Raw genomic sequence first — 16,588 nt, 5'->3', positions numbered from 1 at the left:
CTACTAAAAATACAAAAAATTAGCTGGGCATGGTGGCAGGCGCCTGTAGTCCCAGCTACTCGGGAAGCTGAGGCAGGAGAATGGTGTGAACCCAGTAGGCGGAGCTTGCAGTGAGCCGAGATCGCACCACTGTACTCCAGGCTGGGCAACAGAGTGAGACTCCGTCTCAAAAAAAAAAAAACAAAAAACAAACAAAAAAAAAGGATTTCCTCATCTGTTCAAGTTTTATCATGAGATTTGAGCAATTCAGTCACATATTCAGGCTCCACTTCTGATTCTAGTTCTCTTGCTGTTTCCACCACATCTGCAATTATCTCCTCCACTGATGTCTTGAACCCCTCAAAGTCATCCATGACAGTTGGAATCAATGTCTTCCAAACCCTTATTTTTGTTGATATTTGGACCTCCTCCCATGAATTATGAATGTTCTTAATGGCATCTAAAATGGTGAATCCTTTCCAGAAGGTTTTCAATTTACTTTGCCCAGATCCATTATGGGAATCATTGTATATGGAATGTATTTCTTAAATAATGACTTAAAAGTTGAAATTACTCCTTGATCCATAGGCTACAGAATGGATGTTGTGTAAGTAGGTATGAAAGCAACATTATTCTCCTTGTACAACTCCATCAGAGCTCTTGGGTGACCAGGTGCACTGTCAAGGAGCAGTAATATTTTGAAAGAACTCTTTTTTTCTGAGCAGTAGATCTAAAGAGTGGACTTAAAATATTTAGTGAACCAGCTGGGCACGGTGGCTCATGCCTGTAATCCCAGCACTTTGAGAGGCCAAGGCAGGCAGATCACTAGGTCAGGAGTTCAAGACCAGCCTGACCAACATAGTGAAACCCCATCTCTACTAAAAATACACAAATTAACCATGCATGATGGCATGCACCTTTAATCCCAGCTACTCAGGAGGCTGAGGCAGGAGAATCACTTGACCCCAGGAGGCGGAGGTTGCAGTGAGCCAAGATCGCACCACTGCACTCCAGCCTGGGCGACAAAGCGAGACTTTGTCTCAAAAAATAAATAAATAAATCAGTAAACCATGCTGTAAAAAAAAAAAAATGTGCTATCATCCAGGCTTTGTTGTTCCACTTATAGAGCACAGGCAGAGTAGACACAGCATAATTCTTAAAGGCTCTAGGCTTTTCATAATGGTAACGGAGGACTGGTTTCAATTTAAAGTCACCAGCTACATTAGACCCTAATAAAAGAGTTAGCCTGTGCTTTGAAGCTTTGAAGCCAGGCATTGATTTCTCTCTAGCTATGAAAGTTCTAGATGGCATCTTCTTCCAACAGAAGGCTGTTTCATCTACACTGAAACTCTGTTGTTCAGTGTAGCCACTCTCATCAATTATTTTAGTCAGATCTTCTGGCTAATTTGCTGCAGCTTCTACATAAGCACCTTCGACTTTTATGTTATGGAGATGGCTTCTTTCCTTAAACCTCATGAACCAATCTCTACTAGCTTCAAACTTTTCTTCTATAGCTACCTTACCTCTGTTGGCACTCACAGAATTGAAGAGAGTTAGGGCCTTGCTCTGGATTAGGCTTTGGCTTAAGGGAATGTTATGGCTCGTTTGATCTTCTTTCCAGATCACTAAAACTTTCTCCATATCAGATAAGGTTATTTTGCTTCTTACTATTCATGTGTTCACTGGATTAGCACTCTTAATTTCCTTAAGAACTTCTCCTTTGCATTGACAATTTGGTTAGTTGTGCAGTGCAACAGGCCTAACTTTTGGCCTTCTCAGCTTTCTATATGTCTTCCTCACTAAGTTTAATCATTTCTAGCTTCTGACTTAAAGCAAGAGATGTGCAACTCCTCCTTTCACTTGAACACTTACAGGCCATTGCAGGGTTATTAATTGGCCTACTTTCAGTATTGTTGTGTCTCAAGGAATAGGGAGGCCCAAGGAGAGGGAGAGAGATGGTGGAGTGGCCTGTCATGGAGCATTTAGAATACACATAAGGTTGGGCACGTTGGCTCATGCCCATAATCCCAGCACTTTGGGAGGCCAAGGCAGGAGGATCACTTGAGTCCAGGAGTTTGAGACCGGCCTGGGCACTATAGTGAGACTCCATCTCTACAACAACAACAAAAAACTTTTAAATGAGCCAGGCATGGTGGTGCATGCCTGTAGTCCCAGCTACTCAGGAAGCTGAGGTGGGAGGATCGATTGAGCCCAGGAGGTCAAGGCTGCAGTGAGCCATGATCATGCCTCTGCACTTCAGCAACCCCGGTGACAGAATGAGACCCTGTCTCTAAAACAATAACAAAGCCCATGACATTGGTAGATCAAATTTGCCATCTTATTTGGCCATGGTTCATGGTGCCCCAAAACAATTGCAATAGTAACATCACAGGTCACTGCTTACAGATTGCCATACAGATACAGTAATAATGAAAACATTTGAAATATCATGAGATTTACAAAAATGTGAGAAAGACACAATTTGAGCACATGCTGTTGGAAATTTGGCACCAACAGACTTGCTTGATGTACAGTTGGTAAAAACCTTCAATTTGTAAAAACAAAACAAAAAAAACACAGTATCTGCAAAGTGCAGTAAAGCAAAGCATGATAAAACAAGGTATGCGTATTTGATATAAGTGGTCAAGAAGTATGGAGGGATATTTGGAGAGCACTGAAGAAGCTGACAAGACTAGATTTGAAGCTTTCCTGCAATTAGATAAAAAAAGGATTGCAAAAACATCACTTTGATCTAGGAAAAGTACTCTTTCACGAGAGAAGAGGTGAAGCTGATCGGGAAAAGAGAGGCTTTTGAGAGAACTGTCAAGACAGACTGAAAAATCAGGAAGACTGATTGGTCATACCCCTAAGTTATATCACAGTGCTCTCAACAGACCAGAGGGAGCAACAAGAAACTGAAAGAGGAAATTTGCCTTTATTGTAAAAAGCTTATAGCTATGAAACCAAGAGTTGGTATGAAACAAAACAACTGAGGGACTATCACCACGATATAAGTTATCTCAACTCACCACCATCATCGAGATGAGTGAGATCTACTCTTGACCAATACAGCCCATTAAGAAGAGCTTCCAGGACATCCAGTGCTACCAGTGGTCTGAGGTGTTAGAGTAAGCAATCAGTTTTGACATATCCAGTGGCCTGCTGCTAAGACCTAAGCCCCCTAATGTCCATACAGCTTGGTTATAAAACTTTTTTATACCAAAAAAAAAGAGAGAGATTCTTTTTTTAATGGGACAGAACTAAAATACTGGTCAACAGCATGTAAGTTGGGAGATGGGGTGATCAGAGCTAAAGTGTTCTAGAGATCCTTGTACTGTTTAGGACAAGGATAAAGGTATTGATTAACTTTAAACTTTGCTAAGCATAGACAGTAATACTCCAATAAAAAAAAAAAACAAGTAACCAGGGATGGTGGCACAATCCTGTAATCTTAGCTACTTGGGAAGCTGAGGTGGGAGGATCACCAGAGCCCTGAGTTCAAGACCAGCCTGGGAAAAATAGCAAGGCCCCCATCACAAAAACAAACAAACAAACAAACAAACAAACAAAAAAACTGAAAAGAACAGAAATAGACCCAAGCATGGTGGCTCACACCTATAATCCTAGTGCTTTGGTGCTTTGGGAGACTGAAGTGGGAGAATCGCTTGAGGCCCAGAGTTCAAGACTAGCCTGGGCAACATACCAAGACTCTGTTTCCACAAAAAAATTAAAAAATTAGCTGGGCCCAGTGGTACATCACTGTAGTCCTAGCTTCTCGGGTGACTGAGGAAGGAGGATCACTTCAGCTCAGGAGTTGAGGTTACAGTGAGCTATGATCATGTTACTGCCCTCCAGCCTGGGCGACAGAGCCACACCCTGTCTCTAAAAGAAAAAAAAAGAATAGAAATAAAATTAAAAAGAATAGAAATAAAACTTTCAAACCATTAGCTAAAATGGCTTAGCTAGGATGATTAAAGAAATTGAGTCGGGCCAGGCGCGGTGGCTCACATCTGTAATCCCAGCACTTTGGGAGGCCAAGATGGGCAGATCACCTGAGGTCAGGAGTTCAAGACCAGCATGGCCAATGTGGTGAAACCTTGTCTCTACTAAAAATACAAAAATTAGCCGGGTGTGATGGCACATGCCTGTAATCCCGACTACTCAGGAGGCTGAGGCAGGAGAATCGCTGGAACTTGGGAGGCAGAGGCTGCAGTGAGCCGAGATCATGCCACTGCACTCCAGCCTGGGTGACAGAGCGAGACTCCGTCTCAAAAAAAAAAAAAAAAGAAATTGAGTCATTAGTTTAAAATCTTCCCACAAAAAATAAAATCAAATGGTACAGGTGAGTTCTGCCAAATGTTCAAGGAATAACAGAACACTTCAGTCTTTTTTTTTTTTTTTTCTGAGATGGAGTCTCGCTCTGTCGCCCAGGCTGGAGTGCAGTGGTGCAATCTTGGCTCACTGCAAGCTCTGCCTCCCGGGTTCATGCCATTCTCCTGCCTCAGCCTCCCAAGTACCTGGGACTACAGGCGCCCGCCACCACACCCGGCTAATTTTTTTGTATTTTTAGTAGAGATGGGGTTTCACTGTGTTAGCCAAGATAGTCTCGATCTCCTGACCTCGTGATCCACCCACCTCAGCCTCCCAAAGTGCTGGGATTACAGGCGTGAGCCACCGCACCCAGGCAACAATTATTTTTTTTTTAAGGCAAAAGTCATTTACAGCTCTTTCACAGAAGAAAAGGGCAAAAATCATTATTTATTTATAGAGATGGAGTCTTACTATGTTGCCCAGGCTGGTCTTGAACTCCTGGACTCAAGCAATTCTCCCACCTTGGCCTCCCAAAGTGCTGGGATTGCAAGCATGGGCCACCCCACACCCAGACTAAAAATCATGTTTTTAAAGTTTAATCTTTTTTTTTTCTTTTTTTTTGAGACGGAGTCTTGCTCTGTCACCAGGCTGGAGTGCAGTGGCTAGATCTCTGCTCACTGCAACTTCCGCCTCCTGGGTTCAAGTGATTCTCCTGCCTCAGCCTCCTGAGTAGCTGGGACTACAAGTGTGCGCCACCATACCCGGCTAATTTTTATATTTTTAGTAGAGATGGGGTTTCATGTTGACCAGACTGGTCTCGAACTCCTGATCTCGGGCGACCCACCCACCTCGGCCTCCCAAAGTGCTGGGATTACAAGCATGAGCCACCTCGCCCAGCCTAATCTCATTATTTATAAGGAAAATACAAAGACCACAATGAGACATCAATTTCACCCACTAAATCAGGCAAAAGTTAAGGAGGTAGAATAATGATCTGTTGGTGGGAGTGTAAACTGGTACAACCAACACTCTTTGGTAAAGTTGAAGACGTGCACACCCTGTAAAACAGCAATTCCACTACAGAAAATCTTCTGCATTGCCAAGAGGAGATAGGCACAAGAATGTTCTTAGCAGCACTGTTTGTAATAGCAAAATATTGAAAACTACACTAAATCCATCCATAATAGAACAGATACATGAATTGTGATATACATAAATCTCAGAAACATGATACTGAGTGACAACAAACAAGCTGCAGAAGAATGCTTATGGTATGACTCTTAGTTTGTAAAATTCAAAACTATGCAAAAGTAAACTATGTGGTTTAAGGATACAAATATACATATTAAACAATACAGAAAAAGCAAGGGTAAACTCAAATGTCAAGATGGTAGTTACATCCCAGAGGGGAAAGAATGGGAATGGATTATGAAGTAGCACACAGAATATCTCAAAAGATAAAGGTAAAAAACCAAAATAAGGGTAAAAATAATATTCATTTTCTCTCTCAGTAGGGAGGAGATAAAATGAATGGTGGATAATAGGTGTCTGTTCAAATACTCTCCTTTATAACATACATATGGCCAGGCGCGGTGGCTCACGCCTGTAATCCCAGCACTTTGGGAGGCGAGGCGTGCAGATCACGAGGTCAAGAGATCGAGACCATCCTGGCTAACACGGTGAAACCCCGTCTCTACTAAAAATACAAAAAATTAGCCGGGCGTGGTGGCGGGCGCCTATAGTCCCAGCTACTCGGGAGGCTGAGGCAAGAGAATGGCGTGAACCTGGGAGGCGGAGCTGGCAGTGGGTCGAGATGGCGCCACTGCACCCCAGCCTGGGCGACAGAGTGAGACTCCGTCTCAAAAAAAAAAACAAAAAACAACAACAAAAAATGTTATATTATTTTTCTTTTGACGACAAAAAGACCTAGATTTGAATCCAAGCTCTAACAAGCAGTGTGACCTGAGATTAGTCAACCCCTTCAACAAAAACATATGGACTCCCAGCCACAGGCGGAGGGGTACACGTAGGGCAGGAACGCTTGGGTGATAAATATGAGGTCCTTTCCCTCTAGAGTTCACGGTTTAAGAGAAGGCTGACAGGAAAAAAAATTAAATAAATAAAAATTAAAAATTAAAGAAAAATATATAAATATCTCCACAGCCTGCCAACAACAGGTCGTTCCCCACGCTCTTGAGCCCATTTTCAACACAGCTACAAACTGCTGCTTTAAAATGCACACCGGATTAAATTACTTGCCTGAATATAGTCCTCCAATTCTTCCCCTGTGTCCTCAGGATAAAAGGCTCCCCGAGTTCTGCGTGGGCCTCACGCACTCCTGAGGCGCTTGCCTCACGGGCTTCCCTCTCACGTGGCGTCCTCACAGGTCCACATTTGGCTCCACCCACGCCATCACGCAACTGGCATCTGATTGGTGAACGTAGAGGAAGGACTGAGCATGCACGATCTAGCTCCTCCCTCCGTCCGTAAATTTAGATCCGCGAGTCTGCCGGAAGTTTGAGTTCTTCCGCTTCCCAAGGCCCCAACTTCTATTAAGGCATAACTGACATTCGATAAACTGCACATGGCCGGGCGCAGTGGCTCTCGCCTGTAATCCCAACACTTTGGGAGGCGGAGGCAGGTGGATCACCTGAGGTCAGGAGTTGGAGGCCAGCCTGACCAACATGGCGAAACCCTGTCTCTAGTAAAAATACAAAATTAGCCGGGCGTGGTGGCAGACACCTGTAGTCCCAGCTACTCGGGAGACTGAGGCAGGAGAATCGCTTGAACCCGGGAGGCGGAGGTTGCAGTGAGCCGAGATCGCACCACTACACTCCAGCCTGGGCAACAAGAGTGAAACTAAAAAAAAAAAAAAAAAAAAAAAACTACACACGTTTAAAGTGTGCGGTCTGATGAGTTTTGAAACAAATATACACACATGAAACCTTCACAACAATCAATATAACGACCCTATTCATTCCCCGCCAAACTTTAATCCTGCCTCTTTGTTTCCTGCCTCTCGTCCCCCTCTGCCCTTCCCTCTGCAACTGCTAATCTCTTTTCTGTCGCCATAGATAAGTTTTCATTTTATAGTATTTTATATAACTGGAATAATTTGGGGGAGAGGGGGTCTGGCTTGTTCCACTCACTACAAGTATTTTGAGATTCACCTATGTTGTTGTGTAAATCAATAGTTCGTCTCCCTGGACCTGACCATCACTTTTCCCAACAAGAAAGGAGAAAAAAAAAGTTTGTTCCATTTTACTGCTGAGTGTGCTCCATTGTATGGATATATGACAATTTGTATATTCATTCACATGTTGATGGACATTTGGGGGGTTGTTTTCAGCTTGGTGCCATTACAAATGAAATTGCTATGACCATTTGTCTATAAAAGTCTTTTAAACATTTCCTTTTTTTTTTTTTTTTTTTGGAGAAATGGCTCACTCTGTCACCCAGGCTAGAGTGGAGTGCAGTGGTGCCATCATAGCTCACTGCAGCTTGCAGCCTCGCCCTTCCAGTCTCAAGCCATCCTCCCACCTCAGCCTCCAGAGTGGCTGGGATCACACCACCACTCCCGGCTAATTTTTTTTTTTTTTTTTCCGTACAGATGGAGTCTTGCTATGTTGCCCAGGCTGGTCTTGAACTCCTGGTCTCAAGCATCGGCTTCCCAAAGCGCTGGGATTACAGATGTGAGCCACCATGCCCAGCAAGTCCCTAATCCATTTCCAGCAAATTTTTGTGTATGGTGAAAGGTAAAGATCAACATTCAATTTTTTGCTCATGGCTATCCAATTGTTCCAGCATCATTTGTGGAAAGCATTGCCTCCATTAAATTGCCTTAGCACTTGTGTTGAAAATCAACTGGTTATGTATGTCTGGGCCTATTTCTGGACTCTCTATTCTGTTCCGCGTGTCTCTTTATGCCAAATACCATACTGTCTTGATTACTGTGGCTATATAATAAATCTTGACATCAGATAGTGTAATTAGTTATCTATTGATGCATAACAAATTACTACAAATTTAGAGGCTTGGCCAGGTGTGGTTGCTCACACCTGTAATCCCAGCACTTTGGGAGGCTGAGGCGGGTGGATCACTCGAGGTCAGGAGTTTGAGACCAGCCTGGCCAACATGGAGAAACCCCGTCTCTACTAAAAATACAAAAATTAGCCAGGCACAGTGGCTCACGCCTGTAATCCCAGCACTTTGGGAGGCAGAAGCAGACAGATCACGAGGTCAGGAGTTCGAGACCAGCCTGGCCAATATGGTGAAACGTTATCCTGACTTAAAAAAATAAATAAATAAATATAAAAATTAGCCGGGCATGGTGGCACATGCCTGTAGTCCCAGCTACTTGGGAGGCTGAGGCAGAAGAATCGCTTGAACCTGGGAGGCGGAGCTTGCAGTAAGCCGAGATTGCACCACTGCACTCCAGCCTGGGTGACAGAGTGAGTTTCTATCTCAAAAATAAATAAATAAATAAATAATACAAAAATTAGCCGGGCATGGTGTTGCAAGCCTGTAATCCTAGCTACTTGGGAGGCTGAGGCAGGAGAATCACTTGAACCTGGAAGGTGGAGTTTGCAGTGAGCCGAGATCGTGCCACTGCACTTCAGCCTGGGCGACAGAGCGAGACTTTGTCTCAAAAAAAAAAAAAAAAAAAAGAAAGAAAAGAAAAATGTAGAGGCTTAACACACACATATTTATTATCTCATAGTCTCTGTGGGTCAAGAGGCCAGGCATGGTTTAGTTAAATCCTCTGTGAAGCATCTCAGAGACTGCGGTCAAGGTGTATATAAGCCAGGGCTGGACTCTTATCTGGAGACTGGACTGAAAAATAATTCGCTTTCCAGCTCACATGGTAGTTAGCAAACGGAAACTGAGAGCTTCAGTTTTTTGTTGTTTGGCTGTTGGTGGGCACCCTTAGCTTCAAGGGGCCTCCCCAGTTCCTTGCTACATGAGCTTCCTCAACATGGCCAGAAAGGAGAAGAGGAAGAGACTCTAGAGTGGATCTGCTAGCAAGAGAGGCTTTTATAACTTAATGCAATCACAAATGGCATCCCATCACCTTCACCATATTCTATTGGTTAGAAGCAATAGATGGTCATGGGGCCATCTTAGAATCTGCCCTCCACAGGTAGTATAAGTTATCCAACTATGTTTTTATGTTTTTCTTTCTAAAGTGTGTGTGTGTGTGTGTGTGTGTGTGTGTGTGTGTGTGTGTCTATTGTAGGTCCTTTTCATTCCCATATAAATTTTAGAATCAACCATACATTTCTACAAAAAAAAAAAAAGCCAGCTGACTTTTGATTAGGGTTGTGTTAGATCTACAAATCAATTTGGGGACAAATAACACCTTAACAATATTGAGTCTTTTCATCCATGGACATAGTGTATTTTTCCATTTGGATAGGTTGTCTTTCAGTTCTCTCAGTAATGTTTTCTGGTTTTCAATGAACAGATCTTGCACATCTTTTTTTTTTCAAACTTATCCCTAAGTATTTTACATTTTTGGTGCTATTTTCTTTTTTCTTTCTTTTCTTTCTTTCTTTTTTTTTTTTTTTTTTTTTTTTTTTGAGACTGTCTTGCTCTGTCACCCAGGCTCAAGTGCAGTGGCACAATCATGGCTTCAGCCTCCACCCACCAGGCTCAGGTGATCCTTCCACCTCAGCCTCCTGAGTAGCTGGGGCTACAGGAGCGTGCCATGCCTATTTTTTTTCTTTTTTTTGTAGAGATGGGGTTTCATCATGTTGTTCAGGCTGGTCTTGAACTCCTGAGCTCAAGTGATCCACCCACCTTGGCCTCGCAAAGTACCAAGATTACAAGCGTGAGCCGCCACAGCTGGCTGGTGCTATTTTCAATGTTTTGTTTTGTTTTTTTTCAATTTTATCCTACCGTGCTTAGTCAGTAGGCTTAGAGAAGCAGGCACCTTCACTGTGTGGAAAGCCAAGGTTGTCCTGCACTTACTGTGACTAGGTAGGTAGGCAAAGCACATGAAATAAAGAGGAATACTAGCATTACCATTTGCCTTCACTTTTTTTTTTTTCAGGATGGAGTCGTGCTCTGTCACCCAGGCTGGAGTGCAGTGGTGCAATCTTGGCTCACTGCAACCTCTGCCTCCCAGGTTCAAGCAATTCTCCTGCCTCAGCCTCCCAAATAGCTGGGATTACAGGCACCCGCCACCACACCCAGCTAATGTTTGTATTTTTAGTAGAGAGGGGGTTTCACTGTGTTGGCCAGGCTGGTCTCAAACTCCTGACCTTGTGACCGGCCCACCTCAGCCTCCCAAAGTGCTGGGCTAACAGGCGTGAGCTACCACACCTGGCCTGTGCTCACTTCTAAACATGCCCTCTTATCTAAGTCTTATTAGCAAGTAAGCCAACACCTTGCTCTTCAGCCAATTTTTTTTTTTTTTTTTGAGACGGAGTTTCACTCTTGTCACCCAGGCTGGAGTGCAGTGGCACAGTCTTGGCTCACTGCAACCTCCACTTCCCAGGTTCAAGAGGTTCTCCTGCCTCAGCCTCCCGAGTAGCTGGGACTACAGGTGTGTGCTGTGCGCCACTACACCCGGCTAATTTTGTATTTTTAGTAGAGACAGAGTTTCACCATGTTGGCCAGGCTAGTCTCAAACTCCTGACCTCAGGTGTTCCACCCGCCTTGGCCTCCCAAAGTGCTGGAATTACAAGTTGAGCCACCACACCCAGGTTTTTTTTTTTTTTTTTCTTTTTTTTGAAGTAGAGTCTCTTGTTGCCCAGGCTGGAGTACAGTGACATGATCTCAGCTCACTACAACCTCTGCTTCCCAGGTTCAAGCGATTCTCTTTCTTCAGCCTCCTGAGTAGCTGGGACTATAGGTGTGCACCACCACATCTAGCTAATTTTTGCATTTTTAGTAGAGATGGAGTTTCACCATATTGGCCAGGCTGGTCTTGAACTCCTGAACTTAAGTGATCCTCCCGCCTCGGCCTTCCAAAGTGCTGGGATTACAGGCGTGAGCCACCATGCCCGGCCCTTCCTCCAACTTTTTGATATCTACTTTTCAATTTGTTCTGAACTGGTACAGAGAAGAGGATATGATTTATTAACACCCTGTAACTTCAACATCTCCATCTGACTAGTGAAACCCACTCGTATTTCAAAACTCAGGTCATGTCCTTCTGCCTTCATGACAACTTCCTGACATTCCCTCCCATGTGTCCCTTCCTGCTTTTCCTGTGGTGCAATATAAAACACTTTGCTGGTGTCCTTTGTTGACATAGCCTTCTCTTCCTCATCCTCTTTCTCCCACTAAACATGTAAGTCTCAAAAGCATGAAGAAAACCATATATTATTTATCTTTGTAGCCCCAGGGCCTACAACAGTGTCAGGCAGGACATAGATGTTCAGTAAATACTTGCCAAATAAATTATGACCACATGATTTCAGTCTTGAAAAACAATGACTGCTCATTATGTGACAGTTAATGCAAATATCAGAATATAAAATCCTAAATGTATTAACTTTACAACTATATAAAATGTTATGTATTGAAAGGTAATATGTAAAATAAATTGTCATTGCATTTGGGATCTTTTTTAACAAAACATTTTAAAACTCTTCATTATTAATGTATGAATTCTCTGCCCCACACCCTGACACACACTTGGAGTTGGAGGGTTAATATCACATGGGACACTGAGACTCTGAAGGCAGTTGGAGGAAGAAGACTAAACATAAGAGAAACCAAGCCCAAATGCCAAGTGCAGGGGCCAGGGGGCAGGGCAAGGAAAGAGATCACAAGGCCTGGAGTTCGGGGTTAAATGAGACAGTATTACCAGGACAGCAAGGTTTAGGGCAGAGAGAAATTCGAGCATTGCTTCTTTAAGTATCTGTGGGAGCCTCTGGATTTTGTTTACCATACATTAAAGAGCACCTACTATATGCCAGACACTGTGTGTTGGTTTCACAAAGATGAATGAGACAAAGTCCTCAGAAGGATAATACAAAAACACTTAGGCCTATTATAGTAAAAGTGTTGCAAATCAAAGACAAGAAGAAGATACTAAAAATAGCCATAGGAAAAAGGGAAATGACCTTCAAAGGAGCTGATAGTTAAATTTCCAACAGGACAATAGAAGCTGAAAGACAACAGAATAACATCTTCAAAGTGCTGAAAGAAAAAGTCATCAAACAATATTACTTATCAAAATTGTCCTTCAGAGATTAAGGAACTAGAGCCGGGCATGGTGGCTCATGCCTGTAATCCTAACACTTTAGGAGACCTAGGTGGGACAATCACTTGAGCCCAGGAGTTCGAGACAAGCCTGGGCAACATAGTGAGACCCCCATCTGTACAAAAAAATACAAAAAATTATTAGCTGGGGGTGGTGACATGCACCTGTAGTCCCAAATACTTGGGATGCTGTGGCAGGAGAATCTCTTGAGCTCAAGAGGTTGAGGCTCCAGTGAGCTATGATCATAGCATCACAGTCCAACCTGGGAGACAGAGAGAGATCCCATCTCAAAAACAAAATGAAACAAAAAAACAAACAAAAACAGGCAAAGGACTTGAATAGATATTTCTCCAAAGAAAACATACAAATGGCCAGTAATCACACTAAATTACACTCAATATCACTAACAATTAGAGAAATGAAAGTCAAAACCACAATGAGATACCATTTCACATTCATTAGGATGGTTATTATTAAAAAATAAAAACAACAGAAAATAACAAGCATTGGTGAGAATGTGGAGAAACTGGAACCCAAGCTACCCTACATGCTGGTAAGAATGTAAACTGGTGTAGCTGCTATAGAGAACAGTATGGCAGTTCCTCAAAAATTAAACCTAGAATTACCATATGAGCCAGCAATTTTGAGTATATGCCTTAAAAAAATGGAAAAGCGGCTTTGAAGAAGTATTTGTACACCCATGTTCATAGGAGCATTATTCACAATAGCCAAAAGATAGAAACAACCACAGTGCCAAAACCTGGTTAATGGATTGTAGTCTATTCATATAATGGAATACCATATAGCAACAAAAAGGAATACATCTCTGTTATATACAACAACATGGTTGAATCTCATAAACATAAAATTGAGCAAAAGAAGCCAGAAACAAAAGGTTCTACTTATATAAATTCAAAACAAGCAAAACTGCCTGCGGTGCGACAAATCAAGATAGTGTTGTTTTGCTTTTGTTCTTGTTTTTTTCATGCACAGCCTTGACCTCCCAGCTCAATCGATCCTTCCACCTCAGCCTCCAGAGTAGCTGAGACTACAGGTGTGCCTCACCATACCTGGCTAATTTTTTAATTTTTTTGTGGAGACAGGGTCTTGCCACGTTCCCCAGGTTGGTCTCAAATTCCTGAGCTCAAGGGATCCACCCACCTTGACTTTCCAAAGTGCTGGAATTACAGGCGTGAGCCACTGCATCCGGCCTTTTTGTTTGGTTGTTGTTGTTGTTGTTGTTTAATAGACAAGGTCTCACTCTGTTGCCCAGGCTCGAGTGCAGTGGCTATTCACAGGTGTCATCACAGTTCACTGCAGTGTTGACCTCCTGGCCTCAAGAGATCCTCCTACTTCAGCCTCCCAAGTAGCTGGGACTACAGACTTGTGCCATCACACCCAGGTCAAGACAGTGGATATGTTTGATTATGGTGATGCATATGTTCAAGCCCATTAAATTGTAACATTAAATATGTGCAGCTTTTCTATATCAATGACACCTCAAAAAACTGTTTTTAAAAAAGATAGTGGTTATCTTTGACCAGAATAGGTTCAGGTAGTGACTCAGAAGGGGTCCTGGAGGGCTTCTGTTTTTAAATCTGGGTGGAAGTTACATGGATGTCTTTGCTTTGTGACAAGTTGGGCTCCACACTTAAGGTCTGTATATTTTACTATATGTATACGTCAAAAAAGTTAGAAAAGGCAATAGTCTTCTCGCACTTTCCTCTTCTAGTTTTTTTCCACTTGTACATCAGATCTCATTCCCTCCAACTTCCTTCAGCTTTGCCCTCTATTGTGCGTCTTTTCTCTTTCCAGTATTTCCAATTCCTCCTGCTTTACTGACTCCTTCCCTAGTGTGTAAACGTGCTCAATCTCTCCCATTCTGAAAAACGAACCATTTCCCACCCCAGCTAATATCAGAATTCATTCTTTCCCTTTATATCCAACCTACCAACTATAGTACTATAGGTTCTTCAGATCTCTATAGTCAACCTTCTTCCTTCTCCAGCCACAGACATTGCTTTCACCAGGGTCACCTATAACTTCCTTGCTGCAAATTCCAATGGAAACTTTTCAGATTTTGTCTTTTTAGATCACTATTGGATAGTTAGCCACTTCCTTCTTTGTAGCTTATGTGTATGTGTTTCCAAGCCTTTACATGTATGATTGCATTTAATCCTTCCAACCCTGGATGTAAGTACTAGTACTATCTCCATTTTACGAATAAGAAAACTGAGGCTAAGAGAGGTTAACTTGCCCAGTGTCACACAGCTAACTCCTACATAGCCGATCCTGTACATACTTGATGAAATGCTCTTTTCCCTTGATTTCTAAGACAACTTGTTCTTTTTTATCCATTTGTCCATGGGGTTTGTTTGTTTGTTTGTTAGTTTTGTGAGACAGAGTCTCCCTCTGTTGCCCAGGCTGGAGTGCAGCAGCACAATCTTGGCTCACTGCAACCTCCACCTCCCGGGTTCAAGTGATTCTCCCGCCTCAGCCTCCTTAGTAGCTGGGATTACAGGCACCTGCCACCAAGCCCAGCTAATTTTTGTATTTTTAGTAGAGATGGGTTTTCACCATGTTGGTCAGGCTGGTCTTGAACTCCTGACCTCGTGATCTGCCCGTCTCGGACTCCCAAAGTGCTGGGATTACAGGCATGAGCCACTGCGCAGGGCCATCCATGTTTTATTTCCTTTAGACATCTCTCTCCTCTGTCTACCCTTTAAATATTTGTGTCCCCTTAGGACTGTCTGTTTTTCATCTCTTCTTGGCCTGCATGATCTTTCTGGGCACACATTTGAATGGTTTTAATTACCACCTATATATTTATGGCTTCCAATTTCTTTCTCCATTCCATAGGCATCAGCTCTCATCTCCAGCTTGTACAAAACTGAACTTACCACCTTCCTCCTTCCTAAAAATCTGCTTCTCCTCTGTTCATTCTCTCAGTGGCACTATTTTTTACCCAGCTGCCCAAGCCAGAAACCTGGGAGCCCTCCTAATGAGTCTGCCTCCTTCCCTCACTCTGTGTATCCATTTTGTCACCAAGTTCTGCTTTTTCTATTTTCTGACTACCTCGTGTTCGTTCCTTCTTTCAACGGCAGTATCATTGCTCAAATTCAAGCTTCATCATCTATTGCTTGGCTATTGCAATAAAACTTGAACTTCTCTTCAGCAGAACTTCAGCTTCAACCTACTCACAATACTGCTGGCAAAATTAACACAGATTAGAGTCTGTTATTCCCCTGTACCTATGTGATAAACTCTAAACTCCGTAAAATGCCATTTAACTTCTGTCCTGTCCTTTCAGAACTTGGTGCCTACCTTGGGTCCAATTCCTCCCTCATCCCCTATAATCAAAAATTACTAAGATTACTTGTAATTCAAACATATCATGATCTTTTTTTTTTTAACTTCTGTCTTTCATTTTTGTTTCCTAGCATGCCATAGAAACTCCAGAAATGTTTGTTAAACTAAATTTATTTTCTTCCTTCTTCAATTTGTAATATAGTTGCTAGTTTTCTTCCAGCCCACCTACCCCTGATTTTGTCCTTCTCCTTAAAGATTTGCCACTGTCTGGGCATGGTGGCTCGCACCCTATAATCCCAGCTACTTGGGAAACTGAGGACGGGGGATCATTTGAGGCCAGGAGTTTGAGGCCAGCCTGGACAACATAGCATGATCTCATCTCTTTAAAAAATGTCAGCCTGGTGGCTCTATGGCTTAGTTGGTTAAAGCGCCTGTCTCGTAAAAAATGTCAGCCTGAGCAACATTTCTACAAATTATTATTTTTTTAATTAGCTGGGAATGGTGGCACACTCCTGTAGTCCCAGCTACTCAGGAGACTGAAGCAGGAGGATCGCTTGAGCCCAGGAGTTTGAGGTTCGGTAAGCTATGATAGCACCACTGCACCTTCAGCCTAGACAACAGAGCAAGACCCTGTCAAAAAAAAAAAAAAAAAAAAAAAAAAAAAGACTTGCCACTAGCTTCTGGAGAATAGTCAACACAGAAGAAATCAGAGGCAAGAGACAGAGAAAAAGAAAGAGAGAAACAAAACGGACACACGCCTTGTGATGGTGCTGA

General features: G+C 42.8%; 1 protein-coding gene and 1 pseudogene across 1 annotated transcript in view; one reads left to right on the top strand and one right to left on the bottom strand.

Moving 5' to 3' along the window:
• AGO1 (argonaute RISC component 1) overlaps positions 1–6,692 on the bottom strand; it is a 60,772-nt gene extending 54,080 nt beyond the window's left edge. The window contains exon 1 of the mRNA NM_001317123.2: positions 6,550–6,692. The gene's annotated coding sequence lies outside the window, so the exon portion shown is untranslated. The remainder of the gene's footprint in view (positions 1–6,549) is intronic.
• On the top strand, positions 2,681–3,186 carry CFAP97P1 (CFAP97 pseudogene 1; annotated as a pseudogene).
• Positions 6,693–16,588: the final 9,896 nt, after the last annotated feature.

This window comes from Homo sapiens, chromosome 1 (genome assembly GCF_000001405.40).
Source record: "Homo sapiens chromosome 1, GRCh38.p14 Primary Assembly".
NCBI classification, from domain to species: Eukaryota; Metazoa; Chordata; class Mammalia; order Primates; family Hominidae; genus Homo; species Homo sapiens.
Note: the sequence above shows the minus strand (reverse complement) of the source record. Positions and strands in the feature narration are given on the sequence as shown.